Source organism: Homo sapiens, chromosome X (assembly GCF_000001405.40).
Source record: "Homo sapiens chromosome X, GRCh38.p14 Primary Assembly".
Classification (NCBI taxonomy): domain Eukaryota; kingdom Metazoa; phylum Chordata; class Mammalia; order Primates; family Hominidae; genus Homo; species Homo sapiens.
The window spans coordinates 49,112,450-49,133,335 of NC_000023.11; the positions used below are offsets into that span (position 1 = coordinate 49,112,450).

At 49.1% G+C, this 20,886-nt stretch overlaps 1 protein-coding gene across 1 annotated transcript, besides 3 other annotated features; it reads right to left on the reverse strand.

Moving 5' to 3' along the window:
• On the reverse strand, positions 958 to 11,286 carry GPKOW (G-patch domain and KOW motifs). The gene is made up of 11 exons (NM_015698.6): positions 11,098 to 11,286; positions 10,173 to 10,327; positions 9,949 to 10,073; positions 7,256 to 7,365; positions 5,148 to 5,361; positions 4,581 to 4,713; positions 3,772 to 3,874; positions 3,442 to 3,565; positions 3,277 to 3,346; positions 1,404 to 1,489; positions 958 to 1,306 (listed from the first exon to the last, which is right to left on the reverse strand). The coding sequence occupies exons 1-11, from the start codon at positions 11,271 to 11,273 to the stop codon at positions 1,172 to 1,174; spliced, it is 1,431 nt and encodes a 476-aa protein (NP_056513.2). The 5' UTR covers positions 11,274 to 11,286; the 3' UTR covers positions 958 to 1,171.
• Positions 5,587 to 5,698: a silencer, noted in NCBI's record as "fragment chrX:48974390-48974501 (GRCh37/hg19 assembly coordinates)". NCBI's record gives its function as "represses an EF-1alpha promoter that drives an FKBP-Casp9 reporter gene in an ReSE screen in HepG2 liver carcinoma cells {active_cell/tissue: HepG2}" and the evidence as "EXISTENCE:reporter gene assay evidence [ECO:0000049][PMID:32094911]".
• Positions 10,956 to 11,609: an enhancer, noted in NCBI's record as "H3K27ac hESC enhancer chrX:48979755-48980408 (GRCh37/hg19 assembly coordinates)". NCBI's record gives its function as "activates a minimal SCP1, AML or CMV promoter by ChIP-STARR-seq in naive and primed H9 embryonic stem cells {active_cell/tissue: H9 hESC(naive and primed)}" and the evidence as "EXISTENCE:reporter gene assay evidence [ECO:0000049][PMID:30033119]".
• Positions 11,610 to 12,263: an enhancer, noted in NCBI's record as "H3K27ac hESC enhancer chrX:48980409-48981062 (GRCh37/hg19 assembly coordinates)". NCBI's record gives its function as "activates a minimal SCP1, AML or CMV promoter by ChIP-STARR-seq in primed H9 embryonic stem cells {active_cell/tissue: H9 hESC(primed)}" and the evidence as "EXISTENCE:reporter gene assay evidence [ECO:0000049][PMID:30033119]".

The following is a 20,886-nucleotide window of genomic DNA, read 5'->3' on the forward strand; positions in this document are numbered from 1 at the left end:
GGCAGAGACAGAGCCCCAGTGCCATTCCCTGGGGAGCTTTAGCCCTTCTCAAAGGTGCTACCAAGGCTGGTTTATTATGATTGGAGAAAGGAGGAGGCCTCCTTGACAGAGTGAAGTGCATAAAGCATAGGAAATGGACTACTGGACATGAGAAGTTGGGAACATCCTCCCTACGATTAACAAAATACAAGCCAGAGACCAGGCACGGTGGCTCATTCCAGTGCCTATAATCCCAGCACTTTGGGAGGCTGAGACGGGAAGATCGCTTGAGCCCAGGAGATCAATGCTGCTGTGAGCTATGATTGCACCACTGCACTCCAGTCTGGGCAACAGAGGAAGACCCCAGGCTCAGCATATTCTCTGGGGTCCTGCTCTAAACTGAGAGTGAAAGCATACTCTGCTGCTAGTTGCTAGAGTTCTTGCTCAGAAAGTTGTTCAGAGATACAGTATTTCAGATTCCACAGCATCTAAAGATTTTTTTTTTTTTTTTTGAGACAGAGTCTAACTCTGTCCCCTGGGCTGGAGTGCAGTGGCGCAATCTGGGCTCACAGCAACCTCTGCCTCCTGGGTTCAAGCGATTCTCTTGCCTCAGCCTCCTGAGTAGCTAGGATTATAGGCGTGCACCACCATACCTCGGTAATTTTTTGTATTTTTATACTTTTAGTAGAGACAGGGTTTCACCTTGTTGGCCAGGCTGATCTTGAACTCCTGGGCTCAAGCGATCCATCCACCTCAGCCTCCTAAAGTGCTAGGATTACAGGCATGCACCACTGTGCCCAAGCTTATAGTATCTATATTCCAAGAGTGAGCTCACAATCAAATGAGTCCTTTAACTTGTCCTGTACCCTGAGCAGAAAAGCAAGGCTGAAAAGTGAAATGGTTCCCACCTCAGTCAACTCAGTTCCCACCTTAACTCGCAGCTCATCATACCACTTATGATTTCATCTTTCTATTAAGTACTTGAAATGGTTTTTATTATACCCTAAATTTTGGTAAATATTGGGTTTGTTTCTAGCTTCCCTACTGGTTCACCCATCCCTTTCCCTTGTCCTTGTCCCAGGACTGCACCAGAAGTAGAGGATGGAACAATGATCTTCCCACCTTCTGAAGGCAACTTTCTCATATGGTACAGAACTGGTACCAGCCTGGGGGATGGGAGGAGTCCCATGGGTCAGTCATCATCTGTGTCACTAGGGCCCATGTACTGGCAGATGGCATCGTAGTGAAGCTCCACCACCTGATTTTCTCTTGGCAGTTGCACCAAAGCCCGGCTCCGTGCTCTGTCCCGGCTCAGCAAATGTCCCACCTGGAACAGAGGTGAAGTGGAATCAGCAAGGCAAGCCTAGACCCTGGGACAGGCCCTGAACGACCCACAAACCTCTACTGCCAGGTCTGAGACTCACCCTTCCAGTCTGTGGGCCCAGCACCACCATCACACGGTCACCCTCTGCCTTGGGAACCAGGGTCTCCAGCATGTCTTCCCTCAGGCCTATGGATAAGGGAGAGGGGAGTGAGGCCCACAGCAAGGACCAGCCCAACCAGCGTCCTGTCAGAAGGGCCTTTCCTGGCCAGGCGTGGTGGCTCACACCTGTAGTCCCAGCACTTTGGGAGGCTAAGTTGGGAGGATCGCTTGAGCCCAGGAGTTCGAGACCAACCTGGGCAAGATGGTCAGACCTCATCTCTACAGATTTTTTTGTTTTGTTTTTTGAGACTGAGTTTGGCTCTTGTTGCCCAGGCTGGAGTGCAATGGTGTGGTCTTGGCTCACTGCAACCTCCGCCTCCTGGGTTCAAACGATTCTCCTGCCTCAGCCTCCTGAGTAGCTGGGATTACAGGCACCCACTACTGCGTTTGGCTAATTTTGTATTTTTAGTAGAGATGGGGTTTTGACATGTTGGTCAGGCTGGTCTCAAACTCCTGACCTCAGGTGATCCACCCTCCTCGGTCTCCCAAAGTGCTGGGATTACAGGCATGAGCCACCGCGCCCAGCCTACAAAAAATTTTAAAATTAGCCAGGCATGGTGGTCAGTGCCTGCAGTCCCAGCTACTCAGGAGGCTGAGGTGAGAGGATGGCTTGAAACCAGGAATTTGAGGTGGCAGTGATCCATGATGGTGCCACTGCACTCCAGCATAGGTGATAAAATGAGACCCAATCTCAAAAAAAAAAAAAGAAAAAAAAAAAAAAGAAGGGCCTTTCAGCTGGGTGTGGTGGCTCATGCCTGTAATCCCAGCACTTTGGGAGGCTGAGGCAGGAGGATCACGAGGTAAGGGGTTCAAGACCAGCTTGGCCAATATGGTGAAAACCTGTCTCTATTAAAAATACCAAAATTAGCTGGGTGTGGTAGCGGGCACCTGTAGTTCCAGCTACTCAGGAGGCTGAGGCAGAAGAATAGCTTGAACCCGGGAGGCGGAGGTTGCAGTGAGCCAAGATTGCGTCACTGCACTCCAGCCTGGGTGACAGAGTGACTCTGTTTCAAAAAAAAAAAAAAAAAAAAAAAAAAAAAAAAGAAGGGCCTTTCCTGTATTCCCTGGAGCCACTCTACACCCTGTTGACAGATGGGAGTCCCGCCACATCCATTTCACAGATGAGGTAGCCTAAGGAGTAGTTTACAAAAATCACTGTAATAAAGGGTGGTGGTGATAACAACAGGCACCTTTTATTGTGGGCATGTTTTAACCCCTGCCCTGCACTGAGAGCTCAATACACATTCCTTCACTAAGGCACCAATCACAAGAGGAAGAAATAGTAAATTCCATGCTAATTTGACAGACCGGAGGCCGAGCGCGGTGGCTCACGCTTGTAATCCCAGCACTTTGGGAGGCCGAGGTGGGAGGATCACTTAAGGTCAGGAGTTCCAAGACCAGCATGGTCAACATGGTGAAACCCTGTCTCTACTAAAAACACAAAAATTAGCCAGGTGTGGTGACGCTTGCCTGTAATCCCAGCTACTCGGGAGGCTGAGGCAGGAAAATCGCTTGAACCTGGGAAGTGGAGGTTGCAGTGAGCTGAGATCACGCCACTGCACTCCAGCCTGGGTGACAGAGTGAGACTCTGTCTCAAAAAAAAAAAAAAAGAAAAAAAAGAAAACTTGACAGACTGGGAGAGTGGGGCTCAAGATAACCAACCACCATCATGGAAGTGTCTAATGTTCTGTAAGAGGATGCTAGGCCTTGCAAAATACCTGAACTCTGCCAAACCTCCCAGCTTTGCCTGGGCCAGGCTCTGGGCCTAAAACACTCTTCTTGATCAACCTCCAGCTGCCATCGCTCAAACTCACCTTCCAGGACTCGGCCTTCATCTGTCCGACATACACAGGTATCTGGGCTTAGGACATCTTCAATTATCATCTGGGGATACAGGTCAGGGGGATGTGAGATTTTAGAGAGGTAGGGGGGCCCAGTCCCTAGGAGAGGGAGGGGGACTCAGGCTGCAGGGTTCCCACCTTGGTGTTGTAATATTGGCCTCCTTTGTACATGTTGTCCACAAACCGCACACGCAGGTCCCTGTGCAACCAGTGCTGACTTCTGGGGGCTGCTTTCTCACTCTTGGCTGCAGGCCCATCCTGTCTGTGGAGAAGGTGCCAGCACCAGGCTTAGCTCTTCATCAGATGCACTTTCCAGTTGCCCTCCCTTTGCCTATGCTATGAAACCCACCCACAATGCAGTTCCCCGTTCCTTCTATGAGCCCGCCTTGCCTTGGAAGCCTTCCCTGGCTGCTCGAGCCTACCCACAGCCCTGCCTTCTTGACCCCTCCCGCATGCTCAGAGTCCCACCGGTCTGGAAGGTGTTTCCGCTTCCTCTCTGAGTTGTCCTGCTGGATGTAGAGTTCTTGATTCCAGAGGGTCTTCCGTGATGAGGCAGTTCCGTTCTGTTGCCCTGGGGAAGGAAGTTTTGCTCATCTGGCCTGTTCAAGAGGTTATGAGGAGAACCAGGACAGAGCCTCAGTGTCTCACTGCCCTTTCCTTCCAAGGCCATGTCTCAGCCTAGAGCCACCTCCCACCTGCCAAAGTGCCCCTCTCACCCCTCATGCATTTGCTAGTAGAATGCCTCTCCCCCACCTCTCAACCATTTCAGCTTCCTTCAGGAACCCTCCCGCAGCCAACCTAGCCCACAACAACAATGCTCACCTAGTGTGGACTAGAGATTCCCAGAGAGCTCTGTCTGTACCCATTTGCCAAACTGCCCCGTCCTACCGAAACGCCTTCGCCTGTGCTGTTCTGTCTGCCTAGAATTCCTTCCTTCTTGGTCACACCCTAATCCTAGCAGTTCTCACTCCCTAGTAAAAGAGAGGTTCATCACCCCAAATGGACAAAGATCTCGAAGGTAGGAATTGGTTTCTGCACCTGTTTCTTCTCACTCAGACAGGCTACAGACCCAGGGGTATGACATCGACCTTTCTCCAATCAAATGGAGTAAGTCACTTATGTCCATTCTCACCTCCTGACCTCTGATTGGAAGTCATATCTGCCAGGCACACTGCTGCCCCTCCCTGCTGCAGATCTAAAACCACCCCATTAGCCAGGCCCTGCCACCCCTAGGAATGCGTTGCCAACTCCCCTAGCTCTACAAGAGGCTCACTCACTGAGATCCAAGGTGTTCTTGTCAAACTCCTGCTGGGAGACAGGCCGCAGGTAGTACTCACTAACAGTCACCACCCGGCTCCCCACAGCCAGACGAACCATGGCCCGAACATTGTCAGGATCAAGGCCTTCCACCTAAAGTGTTGAGGGGAAGAAGTCAGGTAGGGGTTGTGGACTCCACCCACATTCCTAGGACCAAGATGTCAACCCCTTACCTCTAAGAGGCCTGCTTCCTCTGTCTCCCCAACCAGACTCTGACCCCTGAGAAGTGGGACCAGGTCTGGTTCCTGTGTCTCCCTCAGCTGACTGTGGGGCTTCCTTGGATCCTTTAAGCATTTAATCTTCAGGGACTTGTGGCATATGGCATTCTCTTCCTTTTAGCTGGGAACTGAGGCTCACAAAGGCCAGCAAGTGGTCCTGGGTTACTGAGTGAGGCAGTGGGCCAAGCAGACCTAAAAGACTAGGAGTCCCAGCCTTTCTACCTCAAATCCAATTATTCCTCCATCTGACCCTCGGATCAACCTTCCCTGCTGCCTGTTTTGGGCTCCCGGGATATCTTGGTTCCTTACCTTCCCATAGAGGCCTCGGTGAGGGCCAGAAAGAACCACCACAGCTCCTCCAGGCACCAGCCCTTGAGGCTGATCTTCCTTATCTTTCTCTTGCTCCTCATCTGGTCTTGGCATGCGGGAGGGGCCAGTGGGGGTCAAGGCCTGGGCCTCGGTCAGGTTGGCACCCAGCCCTAACCCCTTGGGCCTCAGTGAGTTGACACGGGGCTTCACTACTCTGCAGGGAGGAATATGGGTTTGTTGGAGAGGATGCAACAGTCTTCAACACCTTATTTACTTCCTCTTCCTGCCCAAACCCGCCCCACCCGCCCCATTGACATTTTCTTTTCTTTTCTTTTTTTTTGGAGATGGAGTTTTGCTCTTGTCATCCAGGCTGGAGTACAATGGCTCGATCTCGACTCAATGCAACCTCCACCTCCCAGGTTCAAGGGATTCTCCTGCCTCAGCCTCCCGAGTTGCTGGGGTTACAGGCGCATGCCACCATGCCCGGCTAATTTTTGTATTTTTAGTAGAGACAGGGTTTCACCATGTTGGTCAGGCCGGTCTTGAACTCCTGACCTCAGGTGATCCGTCCTCTTTGGCCTCCCAAAGTGCTGAGATTACAGGTGTGAGCCACCGTGTCCAGCCCCCACCAATATTTTCAAGGTTGCCCTTTCTGATCTCATATTAGGACTGTTTTTGACCTACAGAAACAGCAATTTCATTTGGTTCAACCTAATAACATGCTGCATATACCATCTATTACATAATATCTACAGTGAGATCAGAGGCAGATCGCTGTAACCAAATATACTATTTCTACAGGGGAAATCATATGAACATTCACACCGAGCAGGAGAAACCGGATTATAAATACTCAACATGGTTGGGCATGGTGGCTCATGCCTGTAATCCCAGCACTTTGGGAGACCGAGGTTGGTAGATCACCTAAGGTCAGGAGTTCAAGACCAGCCTGGTCAACATGGGGAAACCCCATCTCTACTAAAAATACAAAAATTAACCAGGCATGCTGGTGCATGCCTGTAATCCCAGCTACTCAGGAGGCTGAGGCAGGACAATCACTTGAACTCAGGAGGTAGAGGTCGCAGCGAGCCGAGATTGCGCCACTGCATCCCAGCCTGGGTGACAGACAGAGACTCCATCTCAAAAAAAAAAAAAAAAAAAAAAAAAAAACGCCAATTCAGGTCATATTTGGCTGCCAATGGGTTATGAAAAAATGTTTGGTTTTCAGAATTATTGAGTTTGCAATTGTGAAGAAAGGGTTGCAAGTCTGCATGACAATAGCAAATGTTTAGTCTACGCTTTCTTGGGGTCAGGGCCTACTGTATGTGCTTTATGTATATAATTTCTTTTCCTTTTCCTTTTTTTTTTTTTTTTTGAGACGGAGTCTCACTGTCACCCAGGCTGGAATGCAGTGGTGCAATTTCGGCTCACTGCAAGCTCCGCCTCCCAGGTTCACGCCATTCTCCTGCCTCAGCCTCCTGAGTAGCTGGGACTACAGGCACCCGCCACCATGCCCGGCTAATTTTTTGTATTTTTTTTTTTAGTAGAGATGGGCTTTCACCGTGTTAGCCAGGATGGTCTCGATCTCCTGACCTCGTGATCCACCCACCTCAGCCTCCCAAAGTGCTGGGATTATATGTGTGAGCCACCACACCCGGCCCTAATTTCTTTTCTTAAAATTAATTAATCTTTTGTAGAGATGGGGCCTCCCTATGTTGCCCAGGCCAGTCTCAAACTCCTGGAGTTAAGTGATCCTCCTGCCTCAGTCTCCGAAAGTGCTGGGATTACAGGCATGAGCCACTACCTGGCCTATGTGTATAATTTCATTTAACTCTCACAACAGACCTATGAAGTCAGTACTATTACCCCCATTTTTCAGATGAGGAAATTGATGTCCCTAGAGGCAAACTTTATATAAATGGGATTCTATTAGAGTTTCAAAGGGCAAATGGGAGTTTAAAACAGTAGTGGAAGGGGCTGCTGAATTAGTTAGGGCGATAATGTATCCTCCCTCCCTGCCTAGGTGGTTCTGGTTTGGCAGTGACCCTGGGGATCTTGATTGCAGCCTGATGATCTGTCTGTCCCCTCGACCCTATCCCAGAACTCACTGATTGAAGGTGCGGCCGATGCCCTCGCCAGGTTTCCAGCCCATGCCCCGCAGCATGGCCAGCCCATAGGCCTCCACGGGGACCGCCTCATAATTAGCCTCCTCTGGCACCTACAGGTTCAGGTAGAGGAAGGAGGGTCAGGCTTTGCTTACACTGGGTCTTCTATTTGAAGTGCACTTGCTGCCCCCCACTGGGAGACCTGCTACGCGTCTTTTCCAATCAGCTCAAGGGTGAGTTTTGATTTCCTCTTTCCATCCCTCACTGTACTCCTCCATGTTCAGTCCTTCAACAAATATAAAGCACCTTGTCTATGGCAAGTACTGTTCTAGGTACTGGGGATGAAGCTGTGAACCAAACAGACAAAAACCCCTACCCCTGCAGAGCTTCTGATCTAGTTGTGGAGACATACTATAAATAAAACCCAGAAAACATGATATGTCAGGTGGTGATGTAAAGAACAAGAAAACAGGGTAAGAAGATGCAGAGGGATGGAGAGGGAGTGCCACTGGGTTGACATTTAAGCAGAGATCAGGAGATGACAGCAGAGGGAGCCATGAGGATATGAGAAGAAAGTGTCCCAAGCTGAAAGCATAGTAACAGCAAAGGCCCTGAGGCCGGACAAGGCTTGGTATGTGTGAGGGGTATCATGAAAGTCACCATGACTGAAATGGAGAGAGTGAGAGTAGACAGCAGAGAAGGGTGGGGAAGAGACCAAATCAGGAGAGCTGGGCAGGAGTCAGAGGACCTTGAGCCAGGTGGGAGCCACAAGAGGGACCAGTGAGGAAATTACTCTAATAGTCCAGATGAGAGATGCTGGTGGCTCAGCCCTTTGCAGTGGTATTGGTGGTGGTGAGAAGTGGTCAGTTCTGGGTGTCATTTTGAAAAAAGATGATAGGATTGTGCTGGCATATTGTATGGGGCACGAAATAAAGAGAGGAATTGAGGATGACTCCAAGGTTTTCTTTTTTTTTTTTCTTGAGATGAAGTCTTGCTGTGTTGCCCAGGCTGGAGTGCAGTTGCATGATCTCAGCTCACTGCAACCTCAGTCTCCTGGGTTCAAGCGATTCTCCTGCCTCAGCCTCCCGAGTAGCTGTGATTACAGGCACGTGCCACCATGCCCAGCTAATTTTTGTATTTTTACTAGTGATGGGGTTTCGCCATGTTGGCCAGGCTGGTCTTGAACTCCTGACCTCAGGTGATCCGCTGGCCTCAGCCTCTCAAAGTGTTGGGATTACAGGCGTGAGCCACCGCCCCTGGCTGACTCCAAGGTTTTTATGCTGAGTGAGAGGAAGGATGGATGGAATTTTTGGTCACCTGATATGTAGAAAGCTGCAGGAGGAGGTTTATAGAGGGAAAAATTAGAAGAATGAGGCCAAAGCTGGAACAGGATGAAAGGATGAAGAGGGAAGTGAGGATCTTTTTTTTCTTTAAAGATGAAGGAGCTGGGCACAGTGGCTCACGCCGGTAATCCCAGCACTTTGGGAGGCTGAGGTGGGTAGATCACTTGAGGTCAGGAGTTCAAGGCCAGCCTGACCAACGTGGCGAAACCTCGTCTCTACTAAAAATACAAAAATTAGCCAGGCGGTAGTGACACGTGTCTGTAATCCCAGCTACTTGGGAGGCTGAGGCAGGAGAATCGCTTGATCCCAGGACCGGGAGGTTGCAGTGAGCCGAGATCACACCACTTCACTCCAGCCTGGGCGACAGGGCAAGACTCTATCTCAAAAAACAAAAAACAAACAAACAAAAAAATGTTGAAGGAAACCAGGGCACATCTGAAGGCTGAAGAGAACAGTTCAGTTGAAAGAGAGAGTGGTGTGGGGCTGTAGAAGAACTAGACTCAAAAGAAGCAGTGCAAGAAATTTATGAAAGAAGAGGTGAAAAGTCAGGTCTGTGGGTATGAAAGACAGACTTGGTTACTTCTGTAGACATGCCTCTCACGTCCCCTCTTGTCACCTCCCATCATCACTCCTTCCCATTCACTCCAGATACACCACATGTTGCCTCACTGATGGACACACCATATCGATTTTCTACCACTATGCCATTGCTTGGGCTGTTACTACTAACAGGAGTACTCACTCTGTTCTTCCCTCTCTCACTAAACCCTACTTATCCTTCCAGACCACTCTGGTCTAAGTCCCCAGCATCTCTAGCCTGGACTACTCATCCCCTTGCTTCCACCTTCACTAATGAGTCTGTTCACAGCTTCCAGAGGGATACTGTCAAATCATAAATCATATTTCATCTATGCTCAGGGCTTGTCCAGGCTCTCATCTCACTCAGAGTAAAAGCCAAAGTCCTCACAATGGCCTACAAGGCCCTGCCTGGTCTAGCACCCCCATCTCCTTTCTGACTTCGTCTACTACCCCTTCCCCTTACTCATTCCACTTCAGTCACACTGGTCTCCTTGGTGTTCCGCAAACACTTTAGGCAGTGTCTACCTTCAGGGCCTTTACATTTCCTGTTCCCTTTGCTGCACACCTCATTCAGATAATCCTAGGATTCAAGTACGTTTTTAGCATCCAGATACCCAGATTCATTTGGTAATGCTTCCAAAATGATGACAGGAGAAGGGGCAGGTGGCGGGCCTCTAGCACACACACAGACTTTCCCTGCTACGTGCAGGGACACAGCCTGGCGGACAGGGCAAAGAAAGGCTGGGGCAGGAGGGGGACAAGGGGCCAGCTCACTGTCTCTGCCCGGGGTTCGCTGTCTGCCCCTTCCCCGCTGGGGGTGCATCCTTTCTGGATCATGGGGATAGCGAGCGTGGGGTCGACACCCGCATTCTCTCTCTCTTCCAGAGACTTCTTGGATTCTAAAGGAAGAATAGGAGGGAGCAATGAAGTCCCACTCTATCCTTCCACCTTCTTCCTCTTCTTCCTTCAATGGGGAAGGGTAAAGGGGTATCACTCACCCGCAATGAGCTCCTTCACAGCCTGGGACACCACCCCATCCGCCAAGGCCCCAGTATCTGTGGATGGCCCAGGGGGCCGGGCTGGTGGCTGCCTGCGATGGCCATTCTGGATCAAAGGGATGACGAGTTCCTTGGGGGCCTCCTGGGGCTTCACACTGATGTGGACACAGAGGGGTGGGGTTGGGAGAATGGCAGGGTCAGTGGGTCACACTCCTTCATTCAGAGAAAACACAAGAGCCAAACTCACCCCAGCCCCACAGACCATGTCTTCCCTACTCCATGTCTGGATCTCCTGTTCCTCTCTGATCGTGCATTCTCTGGATTATCTCCCCAGTGCCCCCAACTCATAAATGTCAGTGCCTTCGAGAAATAAGTCCTGCACTCTCTGTTTAACTCAATACCGGCTTCTACAATGGCCCACAAATCACTATCTTCAGCCCAGACCTTCCCCAGCTCCAGGTTCCCAAACAGCTTCCTAGATGCCTGATTCTCTTCTGGAAATCCCTCCCTCAGACCCCTCAGACACTCCTCTCCTCATTAAGCTGATGGTGGCCTCCATCAACCTGAATCTGCCGCTCCATCCCGTTCCCCATATCGGGGACGCCTCAGCCCTTCAGTTGAGACACTAGCAGGTCCTGTCATTTTCTCATTCTTTCCTTCTCCCAGAACGCACAGACCTTAGTGTCTTCAAGTCCTAAAGACACTTCTTCTCAGTAATACATCCTCTCTTCGCAATTCCCACAGCTATCAGGCCCAATTTCCTCACCCCCTCCTATAAACTCCCGCCTTCTGGCCTCCACGAATTTACTCAGGCTGTGCTTCAGGCTTAACAGGTCACTGTCACCAAGACAAACAACTGAGATTCCTCCCTCCCGCTTACGCCCACCGCAGAGATTTCCAAGGGGTGAAAGACCCGGCGCGTCACCTCTGCAGCTCCCTCCCTTCCACGGTTTTCAAGAAATCCTTCTCCTCCGGAGATGGCCCCGCGCCGTCTCCCGAGTCGGCCAGCCGCCTCCGTGCGGACGTGCGAGTGAAGCCGAATGAAATTGGGGCAGTGGAAGCAGCCGTCAGCGGCAAAACACCCTCTTTGGAGTCAGCCATCTTGCTCCTTTTCCCAGGCCGGCGCGCTGCTTGCTGGGAAATTTAGTTTGGGTTCAGATCGCTAGGGGCCGGCCAAAGTGCGTAAAAACTACCTTCCCATCAACCACTGTGGCACCGGCGGGAGGGGGCGGTAAGGGGCCGTGGGAAGTAATTGTCGCTCTTTCAAACGTGGTGGGAGCGCGTCGCGCCAAGCGCCCAGGGAAATGTAGTTTTTTTTTTGTTTGTTTTGTTTTGTTTTTTAAGATGGAGTCTCGCTCTGTTTCACAGGCTGGAGTGCAGTGGCGTGATCTCGGCTCACTGCAACCTCCGCCTCCCAGGTTCAAGCGATTCTCCTGCCTCAGCCTCCCGAGTAGCTGAGACTAAAGGCATGCGCCACCACGCCTGGCTAATTTTTGTATTTTTAGTAGAGACGGGGTTTCACCGTGTTAGCCAGGATGGTCTCGATTTCCTGACCTCGTGATTCTCCTGCCTCGGCCTCCCACAGTGCTGGGATTACAGGTGTGAGCCACCACGCCTGGCTGGAAATGTAGTTTTTAGCGGGGTAGGCATGGTGGAAGGTGGATTCATTCTTGCCAGACATTAATCTTCCTTCGTGTAGGCGTTTGACAAGTATTTATGGAGCGCCTAATGTGTGCCCTACTTATGTGGGAAGTGTTGATGAAGTAAATCATTTAGAAATAATCAGCTGGGTGTGGTGGCGCGCACCTGTAGTTCCATTTACTCCGCAGGCTGAGGCAGGAGGATGGCCTGAGGCCTGGGAATTCGAGGCTGCACTTAGCTCTTATCGCACCACTGCATTCCAGCCTGGGTGACAGAGCGAGACCCCATCTCTAAAAAAGAAAAAGGTCGGGGGTGGGGGGGATGGAGCGTCAGTTGTGTACAATAATAAATAATAGACATAAAATAAATAATAGACATAAAAAACCCCGTCTCTACTGAAAATACAAAAATTAGAGGGGTGTGGTGGCTCATGCCTGTAATCCCAGCATTTTGGGAGGCCGAGGCTGGTGGATCACCTGAGGTCAGGACTTTGAGACCAGCCTGACTCATATGGTGAAACCCTGTCTCTACTAAAAATACAAAAATTAGCCGGGCGTGGTGGTGGCGCCTGTATCCCCAGCTACTTGGGAGGCTGAGACAGGAGGATTGCTTGAATCCGGGAGACAGAGTTTGCAGTGAGCCGAGATCCTGCCACTGCACTCCAGCCTGGGCGACAGAGCGAGACTCCGTCTTAAAAAAGAAAAAAGAAAGAAAGAAAGAAATAGTGCCTATTGGCCAGGCTCATACCCGTAATCCCAGCACTTTAGGAGGCCGAGGCGGGCGGATCACTTGAGGCCAGTAGTTCGAGACCAGCCTGGCCAACATGGTGAAACCCCGTCTCTACTGAAAATACAAAAATTAGCGGGGTGTGGTGGCGCATGCCTGTAATCCCAGCTACTCGGGAGGTTGAGGCAGGAGAATCGCTTGAACCCGGGAGGCGGAGGTTACAGTGAGCCGAGATCTCAACACTCCGGCCTGGGCTATAGAGTGACACTCAGTCTCAAAAACAAAAGAAAAACAAAAGAAAAACAAAAAAAAAAAAAAAAAAAAAAGAAAAAGAATAGTGCCTACTGATGTCAGATTTTAATACTCAACAAGGCACTAGATTCAAATATCAATAAAATAGGCTGGGCACAGTGGCTCATGCCTGTAATCCCAGCACTTTGGGAGACCTAGGCGGGCGGACCACCTGAGGTCAAGAGTTTGAGACCAGCCTGGCCAACATGGCAAAACCCAATCTCCACTAAAAATACAAAAATTAGCCGGGTGTGGTGGCACATGCTTGTAATCCCAGCTACTCGGGAGGTGGAGGCAGGAGAATCGCTTGAACCTAGTAGGTGGAAGTTGCAGTGAGCCAAGATTGCCCCACTGCACTCCAGCCTGGGCAACAGAGCGAGACTCTGTCTCAAAAAAAAAAAAAAAGAAAAAGAAAAGAAAAAGAAAAAAAAGAAACTTGTAGTCTAGTAGGGAATACAGACATTTAAATACATATTTTAAAAATATAGCAACATGTGCCGAGCTTAGTGGCTCACGCCTATAATCCCAGCACTTTGGGAGGCCTAGGCAGGAGGATTGTTTGAGCTCAGGACTTTGAGACCACCCTGGGCAACCTAGTGACACCCTGACTCTACAAAAAAATTTAAAAATTAATGGGGTGTGGTGGCGCACATCTGTGGACCCAGCTACTCAGAGGGCTGAGGGGGGAGGATCACTTCAGCCCAGGAGGTTGAGGATGCACTGAGCGGTGATCAGGCCACAGCACTACAGCCTGGGCAACACACACACATATACATATAGCAACATTAAACATATTGTGAGAACCAGGTCCTAAGGCTTCAAAGATTACTGATATGAAGGAAAAATGAAGCAGTCAGAAAATTAAAAAAAAAAAAGATTATTGAGACAGATCTCTCTTGTGTAGGACCTCAAGAGTTCATACAGGCAGGGTGCGGTGGTTCATGCCTGTAATCCCAGCACTCTGAGAAGCCGAGGCAGGTGGATCACTTGAGGCCAGGAGTTCAAGACCAACCTGGCAAACATGGCAAAACTCTGTCTCTACTAAACATACAAAAATTGGCCGGGCATGGTGGCAGGCGCCTGTGGTTCCAGCTACTCAGGAGGCTGAGGCATGAGAATCGCTTGAACCCGGGAGGTGGAGGTTGCAGTGAGCCGAGATCACGTCATTGCACTCCAGCTTGGGCGACAGAGTGAAACTCTGCCTTAGAAAATGAAAAAAAATTTAAAATGAAAAAAAAAAAGAGTTTATACAGAGTGGCTTATACAGAGTTGCTGGGTGTGGTGGCTCACACCTGTACTTTCAGCACTATGGGAGGCTGAGGCAGGAGGATTACTTGAGGCCAGGAGTTGGTGGATACAGTGAGCTATGATCGTGGCACTGCACTATAGCTTGTGTGACAGAGCAAGATCCTGCCTCTAAAAAAGTAAATAAGTAAAATAAAAATAAAATAGTTTGTACAGTAGATGACAGATACTTAAATATTCTTAAGAAAGAGTAATATAATTCTGCTACAAATTAGGCTCAAGGATATCATTGAAGATGTGTAAAATAATTTTTTATGAGATTCATTATCATATTATTGTGGCAAAAGCTTGAAGACCACTTAAATTATCAACAGAAGGGGATGCAGTAAATGAATTACAGCACACACCTTGGATGAAAGAAATACGCCTTTACATTGGAAGTTGTAAATAAATATATATATATAAAATATATATATATATACATATATATTTTTTTTGAGACAGGGTCTCACTCTGTTGCCCAGGCTGGAGTGTAGTGGTGTGATTTCGGCTCACTGCAACCTCCACCTCCCAGGTTCAAGCGATTCTCGTGCCTCAGCCTCCTGAGTAGCTGGGATTAGAGGTGCCTGACACAACGCTGGGCTAATTTTTCTATTTTCAGTAGAGGTGGGATTTTGCCATGTTGGCCAGGTTAGTCTCAAACTCCTCACCTCAGGTAATCCGACTGCCTTGGCCTCCCAAAGTGCTGAGATTACAGGCGTGAGTCACTGCATGACCAGCTGCTATAAATATAATTAAATGGACTGGGCACGGTGGCTCATGCCTATAATCCCAGCGCTTTGGGAGGCTGAGGCAGGCAGATCCTCTGAGGTCGGGAGTTCGAGACCAGCCTGGCCAACATGGTGAAACCCCATCTGTACTAAAAATAAAAAATTAGCCATGTGTGGTAGTGGTTACCGATAATCCCAGTTACTCGGGAGGCTGAGGCAGGAGCATCGCTTGAACCCAGGAGGCAGGGGTTGTGGTGAGCTGAGATTGTGCCACTGGACTCCAGCCTGGGTGACAGAGCTAAACTCCCTCTCAAATAAATAAATAAATAAATAAATAAAAGAAAAGAAAAGAAAAAAATATAAAATTGAATGAAATGGGGACATACCATATTTTGGAAGGTAAATTAGTATGGTGGTTTGGAGAATGGTCTTAAAAAGAGGCAACCCGTTATTCAATCTCATGGCCATGTTTCCAGGTATAGAAGCTCTGGGCATTCTGGCATGGGCCCTGGAATCTCAAGGGTAAAACCACTTTGCTTTTCAAGGTACAACAAAATTCATTAAAATGTATTTAAAGGTGAGGCACGGTGGCTCATGCCTGTAATCTCAGCACTTTGGGAGGCCAAGTCAGGAGGATCGCTTGAGCCCAGGAGTTGGAGGCTGCAGTGAGCTCCGATTGCACCACTGCACTCCAGCCTGGGCAGCAAAGGCAGAGGTTGTGGTGAGCCGAGGTCGCGCCACTGTACTCCAGCCTGGGCGACAGAGCAAGACTTCATGTCAGAAAAAAAAAGACTTTAGACTTCTGCTTTTTTTTTTTTTTTTTTTGAGACGGAGTCTCGTTCTGTCACCCAGACTGGAGTGCAGTGGCACAACCTCCGTTCACCGCAACCTCCACCTCCCCCAGGTTCAAGCAATTCTCCTGCCTCAGCCCCCCCGAATAGCTGGGACTACAGGCGCATGCCACCAGGCCTGGCTAATTTTTTGTATATTTAGTAGAGACAGGGTTTCACCGTGTTAGCCAGGGTGGTCTCGATCTCCTGACCTCGTGATGCGCCTGCCTTGGCCTCCCAAAGTGCTGGGATTACAGGCGTGAGCCACTGCACCCGGCCTGGTTTTCTTTTTGTTTTTGTTTTTTGTTTTTGATTTTTGAAATGGAGTCTCACTCTGTCACCCAGGCTGGAGTGCAGTGGCGCGACCTCGGCTCACTGCAACTTCTGCCTCCTGGGTTCAAGAATTTCTCCTGCCTTGGCTGGGCATGGTGGCTCACACCTGTAATCCCACCACTTTGGGAGGCCGAGGCAGGCGGATCACGAGGTCAGGAGATCAAGACCATCCTGGCTAACATGGTGAAACTCCATCTCTACTAAAAATACAAAAAATTAGCCGGGCGTGGTGGCGAGCGCCTGTAGTCCCAGCTACTCAGGAGGCTGAGGCATGAGAATGGTGTGAACCCGGGAGGTGGAGGTTGCAGTGAGCGGAGACTGCGCCACTGCACTCCAGCCTGGGCGACAGAGTGAGACCCCGTCTCATTAAAAAAAAAAAAAAAAAGAATTTCTCCTGCCTTAGCTTCCCGAGTAGCTGAGATTACAGGCACCCGCAAACGCCCGGCTAATTTTTGTATTTTTAGTAGAGGCAGGGTTTCACCATATTGGCCAGAGTGGTCTCGAACTCCTGACCTCGTGATCCACCCGCCTCGGCCTCCCCAAGTGCTGGGATTACAGGTGTGAGCCACCGTGCCCGGCCTTTTTTTTGTTTTTTGAGATGGAGTCTCATTCTGTGGCCCAGGCTGGAGTGCAGCAGCGCCATCACGGCTCACCGCAACCTTCACCTCCTGGGTTCAAGCAATTCTCCTACTTCAGCCTCCCAAGTAGCTGGGATTACAAGTGCGTGCCACCACGCCCAGCTAATTTTTGTATTTTTAGTAGACGGGGTTTCACCATGTTGATCAGGCTGGTCTTGAACTCCTGACCTCAGGTAATCCACCCACTTTGGCCTCCCAAAGTGCTGGGATTACAGGTATGAGCCACCACGCCTGGTCCAAAAAATACTTCTGAAAAATATAGTTCACTTATTTTCTGGAACACCCCTCAATATAGATTTGTCTTGTGATTTCTCATTTATTAGACTGAGATTATGAGTTTTGGGCAAGAATGTCATGGAGATGATGTGCCCTTCTAATCACATCATATCAAGGAGTTCATGATGTTGATAAGTCCTATTGTTAATTACATGAACATGAATCAGTTGGTTAAGGTGTTGTCTACCAGGTTTCTCCACTGGTTCCATTGCCTGCAATGCAAACTGTCCGTGGAGGAAGTGATACCCACTTCCTAAAGCAGCCGCCTGAGGCAATGTGCGCAATGCAGCCTTATACACGCTGGCACAAGAGGTCCCTGAAGGAGTTTTGTTTTTTGTTTTTAAGCAAGAGTTCCTAGGAAAACCTGAGAGTTTTACCTTCTCAGCTGGTTCACACTTTGTCTCTGACTTGCTCCTGAGATGTATCATGGAGATCACCCCAGCCTAACCTGATCCTGATGCATTTTTTTTTTTGAGACAATCTTGCTCTGTCACCTAGGCTGGAGTGCAGTGGCGTGATCTTGGCTCACCGCAACCTCCATCTTCCGGGTTCAATCGATTCTCCTGCCTCAGCCTCCCGAGTAGCTGGGACTACAGCCATGCGCCACCTCGTTCTGCTAATTTTTGTATTTTTAGTAGAGATGGGGTTTCACCATGTTGGCCAGGCTGGTCTCGAACTCCTGAGCTCAAGTGATCCACCCGCCTTGGCCTCCCAAAGTGCTGGGATTATAGGCGTGAGCCACCACAGCAGAACTTGATGCAAAATTTTTGGTGGTGAAAATATAATGGTGACTCATGCCTGTATCCTCAGCTACCCTGGAGGCAAAGGTGGGAGTGTTGCTTGTACCCAGGAGTTTGAGACCAGGCTGGGCAACATAGTGAGATCCTGTCTGTAACAAAAGAATAAAAAAGAGGGAGGAAGAAAAATATATAATAAGAGAAAAGACCTTTGTTTCTGTCTTTACTTCATACTGAAAAAATCAGGAGTAACATTTAGAAAAGTATTTGCTTACCATATAATTAAGGAAAACCATATCCAAGTTTTACAAAACCAGCCATTTATTCTTTTGCTCATTCAATAATCATTAATTGAGTATCCACTCTGTTAACAGGTCCTGCCTCCAAGGAACTCATATGAGATGGGAAAATCAGGGATTACAAATGTGTCTAAGACCTCAGACACAGATGGCTGTAGGGAAGGGTGGTCAAACAGACAAAATGGGGATTAATTGTGCCCAGCACTACTTCCAAAATGGACCGAAGACTGAAAAAGGATTGTGAAGGATGGCAGGAAGTGAAGTTGGAGTGAGGTGCAGAGGCTAGGTCATGGATAGCAGGGAATATTAGGACTTTGCTGGGGTAATGAGGAAGTCATGAGAAGGTTATGGGACATGACAAAAATTTGTGTTTTATTTAAAAGTATTTAAAAAAAAAGGTAGAACAGCCTGGGCAACATGGCAAAACCCCATCTTTACAAAATATACAAAAATTGGCCTGGCGCGGTGGCTCACACCTGTAATCATAGCACTTTGGGAGGCCTAAGCGGGTGGATCACGAGGTCAGGAGGTCAAGACCAGCCTGGTCAATATGGTGAAACCCTGTCTCTACTAAAAATACAAAAATTAGCCAGGCGTGGTGGTGCACACCTGTAATCCCAGCTACTCAGAAAGCTGAGGCAGAAGAATCGCTTGAACTTGGGAGGCGGAGGTTGCAGTGAGCTGAGATCATGCCACTGCACTCCAGCCTGGGTGACAGAGTGAGACTCCATCTCAAAAATAAAATAAAATAAAATATAAAAATAAAATTATTAGCAGGGCATGGTGGCAGGCGCCTGTAATCCCAGCTACTCGGGAGGCTGAGATGGGAGGATTGCTTGAGCCCAGGAGGTCAAGGCTGCAGTGAGCCAAGATCGTGCCACCGCACCCCAGCCTGGACAACAGAGCAAGACCCTGTTTCAAAAAAACCCCAAAAAGTAACATGCATAAAACATACAGGGTCAACATCCCCAAAATGCAAAGAGCTCCTCCAATTCAATAACTATCAACTGCAGGAAATCCCTGACTGAAAAATAGGCAATGGACATAATCAGGTATTTCATAACATAAGATATACAGGCTGGGAACAGTGGCTCATGCCTGTAATCCCAGCACTTTGGGAGGCCAAGGTGGGCGGATCACCTGAGGTCAGGAGTTCGAGACCAGCCTGGCCAATATGGTGAAACCCCATCTCTATTTTTTGTAAAAATACAAAAAAATTAGCTGGGCGTGGTGGCGGGCACCTGTAATCCCAGCTACTCGGGAGGCTGAGGCAGGAGAATCGCTTGAACGTGGGAGGCGGAGGTTGCAGTGAGCCGAGATCGCGCCATTGCACTCCAGCCTGGGCGACAAGAGTTAAACTCCATCACACAGACACACACACACACACACACACACACACACACACACACACGAAAAGAAAAAAAGAAAAAAAAGAAAGAAGTACAAATCACGGCCGGGTGCGGTGGCTCACTCCTATAATTCCAGCACTTTGTGAGGATGAGGCGGGCGGATTACCAGGTCAAGAGTTTGAGACCAGCCTGGCCAACATGGTGAAACCCCATCTCTACTAAAAATACAAAAATTAGCTGGGCGTGGTGGCAGGCCCCTGTAATCCCAACTACTCAGGAGGCTGAAGCAGGAGAATTGCTTGAACCTGGGAGGTGGAGGTTGCAGTGAGCTGAGATTACGCCACCGCACTCCAGCCTGGGGAACAACAGCAAAACTCCATCTCAAAAAAAAAAAAAAAAAAAAAAAGAATTAGTTCACTTTGGAAGGCTGAGGCAAGACAATCACTTGAGGCTGGGAGTTCGAGACCAGCCTGGGCAACTTAGCAAGACCCCCCCCCCCACGCCCATCTCTCCAAAATTAAAAAATTAGCCTTGCATGGTGGTGCCTGCCTGTAGTCCAAGTTATTGGGGAGACTGAGATGGGAGGATTGCTTGAGCCCAGGAGTTGGAGGCTGCAGTGAACTATGATGCCACTTACTTTATCGATAAATAAGTGTCTTAGACTGTTTATGTTGCTATAAGGTAATAACTGAGCCTGATTTATTTATTTATTTATTTATTTATTTATTTATTTATTTTTGAGACAGAGTCTTACTCTGTCACCCAGGCTGGAGTGCAGTGGCACGATCTCAGCTCACTGCAACCTCTGCCTCCCGGGTTTAAGCGATTCTCATGCCTCAGCCTCCCGAGTAGCTGGGACTGCAGGCATGTGCCACCATGCCCGGTTAATTTTTGTATTTTTAGTAGAGACGGAGGTTTCACCATGTTGGCCCGGCTGGTCTTGAACTCCTGATCTCAGGTGATCTGCCCACCTCGGCCTCCCAAAGTGCTGGGATTACAGGCGTGAGCCACCGTGCCTGGCAGGTAACTTATTTTTATTTTATTTATTTAATTTTATTTTTTGAGATGTACTCTTGCTGTGTCGCCAGGCTGGAGTGCAGTGGCATGATCTCAGCTCACTGCAACCTCTGCCTCCTGGGCTCAAGCAATTATCCTGCCTCAGCCTCCCAAGCAGCTGGGACTACAGGCACCCGCCACCACGTCTAGCTTTTTTTTTTTTTTTTTAGTAGAGATGGGGTTTCACCATGCTGCTCAGGCTGGTCTTGAACTCCTGAGCTCAGGCAATCCACCCGCCTCAGCCTCCCAAAGTGCTAGGATTACAGGCTTGAGCCACCGCACCCGGCCTTATTTTTATTTTATTTATTTTTTTATTTTTGAGATGGAGTTTCGCTCTTGTTGCCCAAGCTGGAGTGCCATGGCATGATCTCGGCCCACTGCAACCTCTGCCTCCCAGGTTCAAGCGATTCTCCTGCTTCAGCCTCCCAAGTAGCTGAGATTACAGGCACGTGCCACCACACCCAGCAAATTTTGTATTTTTAGTAGACACGGGGTTTCTCCATGTTGTCCAGGCTGGTCTCGA

What these genes read in the sequence shown, in the direction of transcription:
- GPKOW (NM_015698.6), bottom strand. Translation starts at nt 11,273, where the DNA reads ATGGCTGACTCCAAAGAGGGTGTTTTGCCGCTGACGGCTGCTTCCACT. An exon ending in ACCGAGGCCTCTATGGGAAG is followed by an intron (nt 4,714 to 5,147) that starts GTAAGGAACCAA and finishes TCAACACTTTAG; the next exon opens with GTGGAAGGCCTTGATCCTGA. An exon ending in TGAAGGCCGAGTCCTGGAAG is followed by an intron (nt 1,490 to 3,276) that starts GTGAGTTTGAGC and finishes CCTTATCCATAG; the next exon opens with GCCTGAGGGAAGACATGCTG.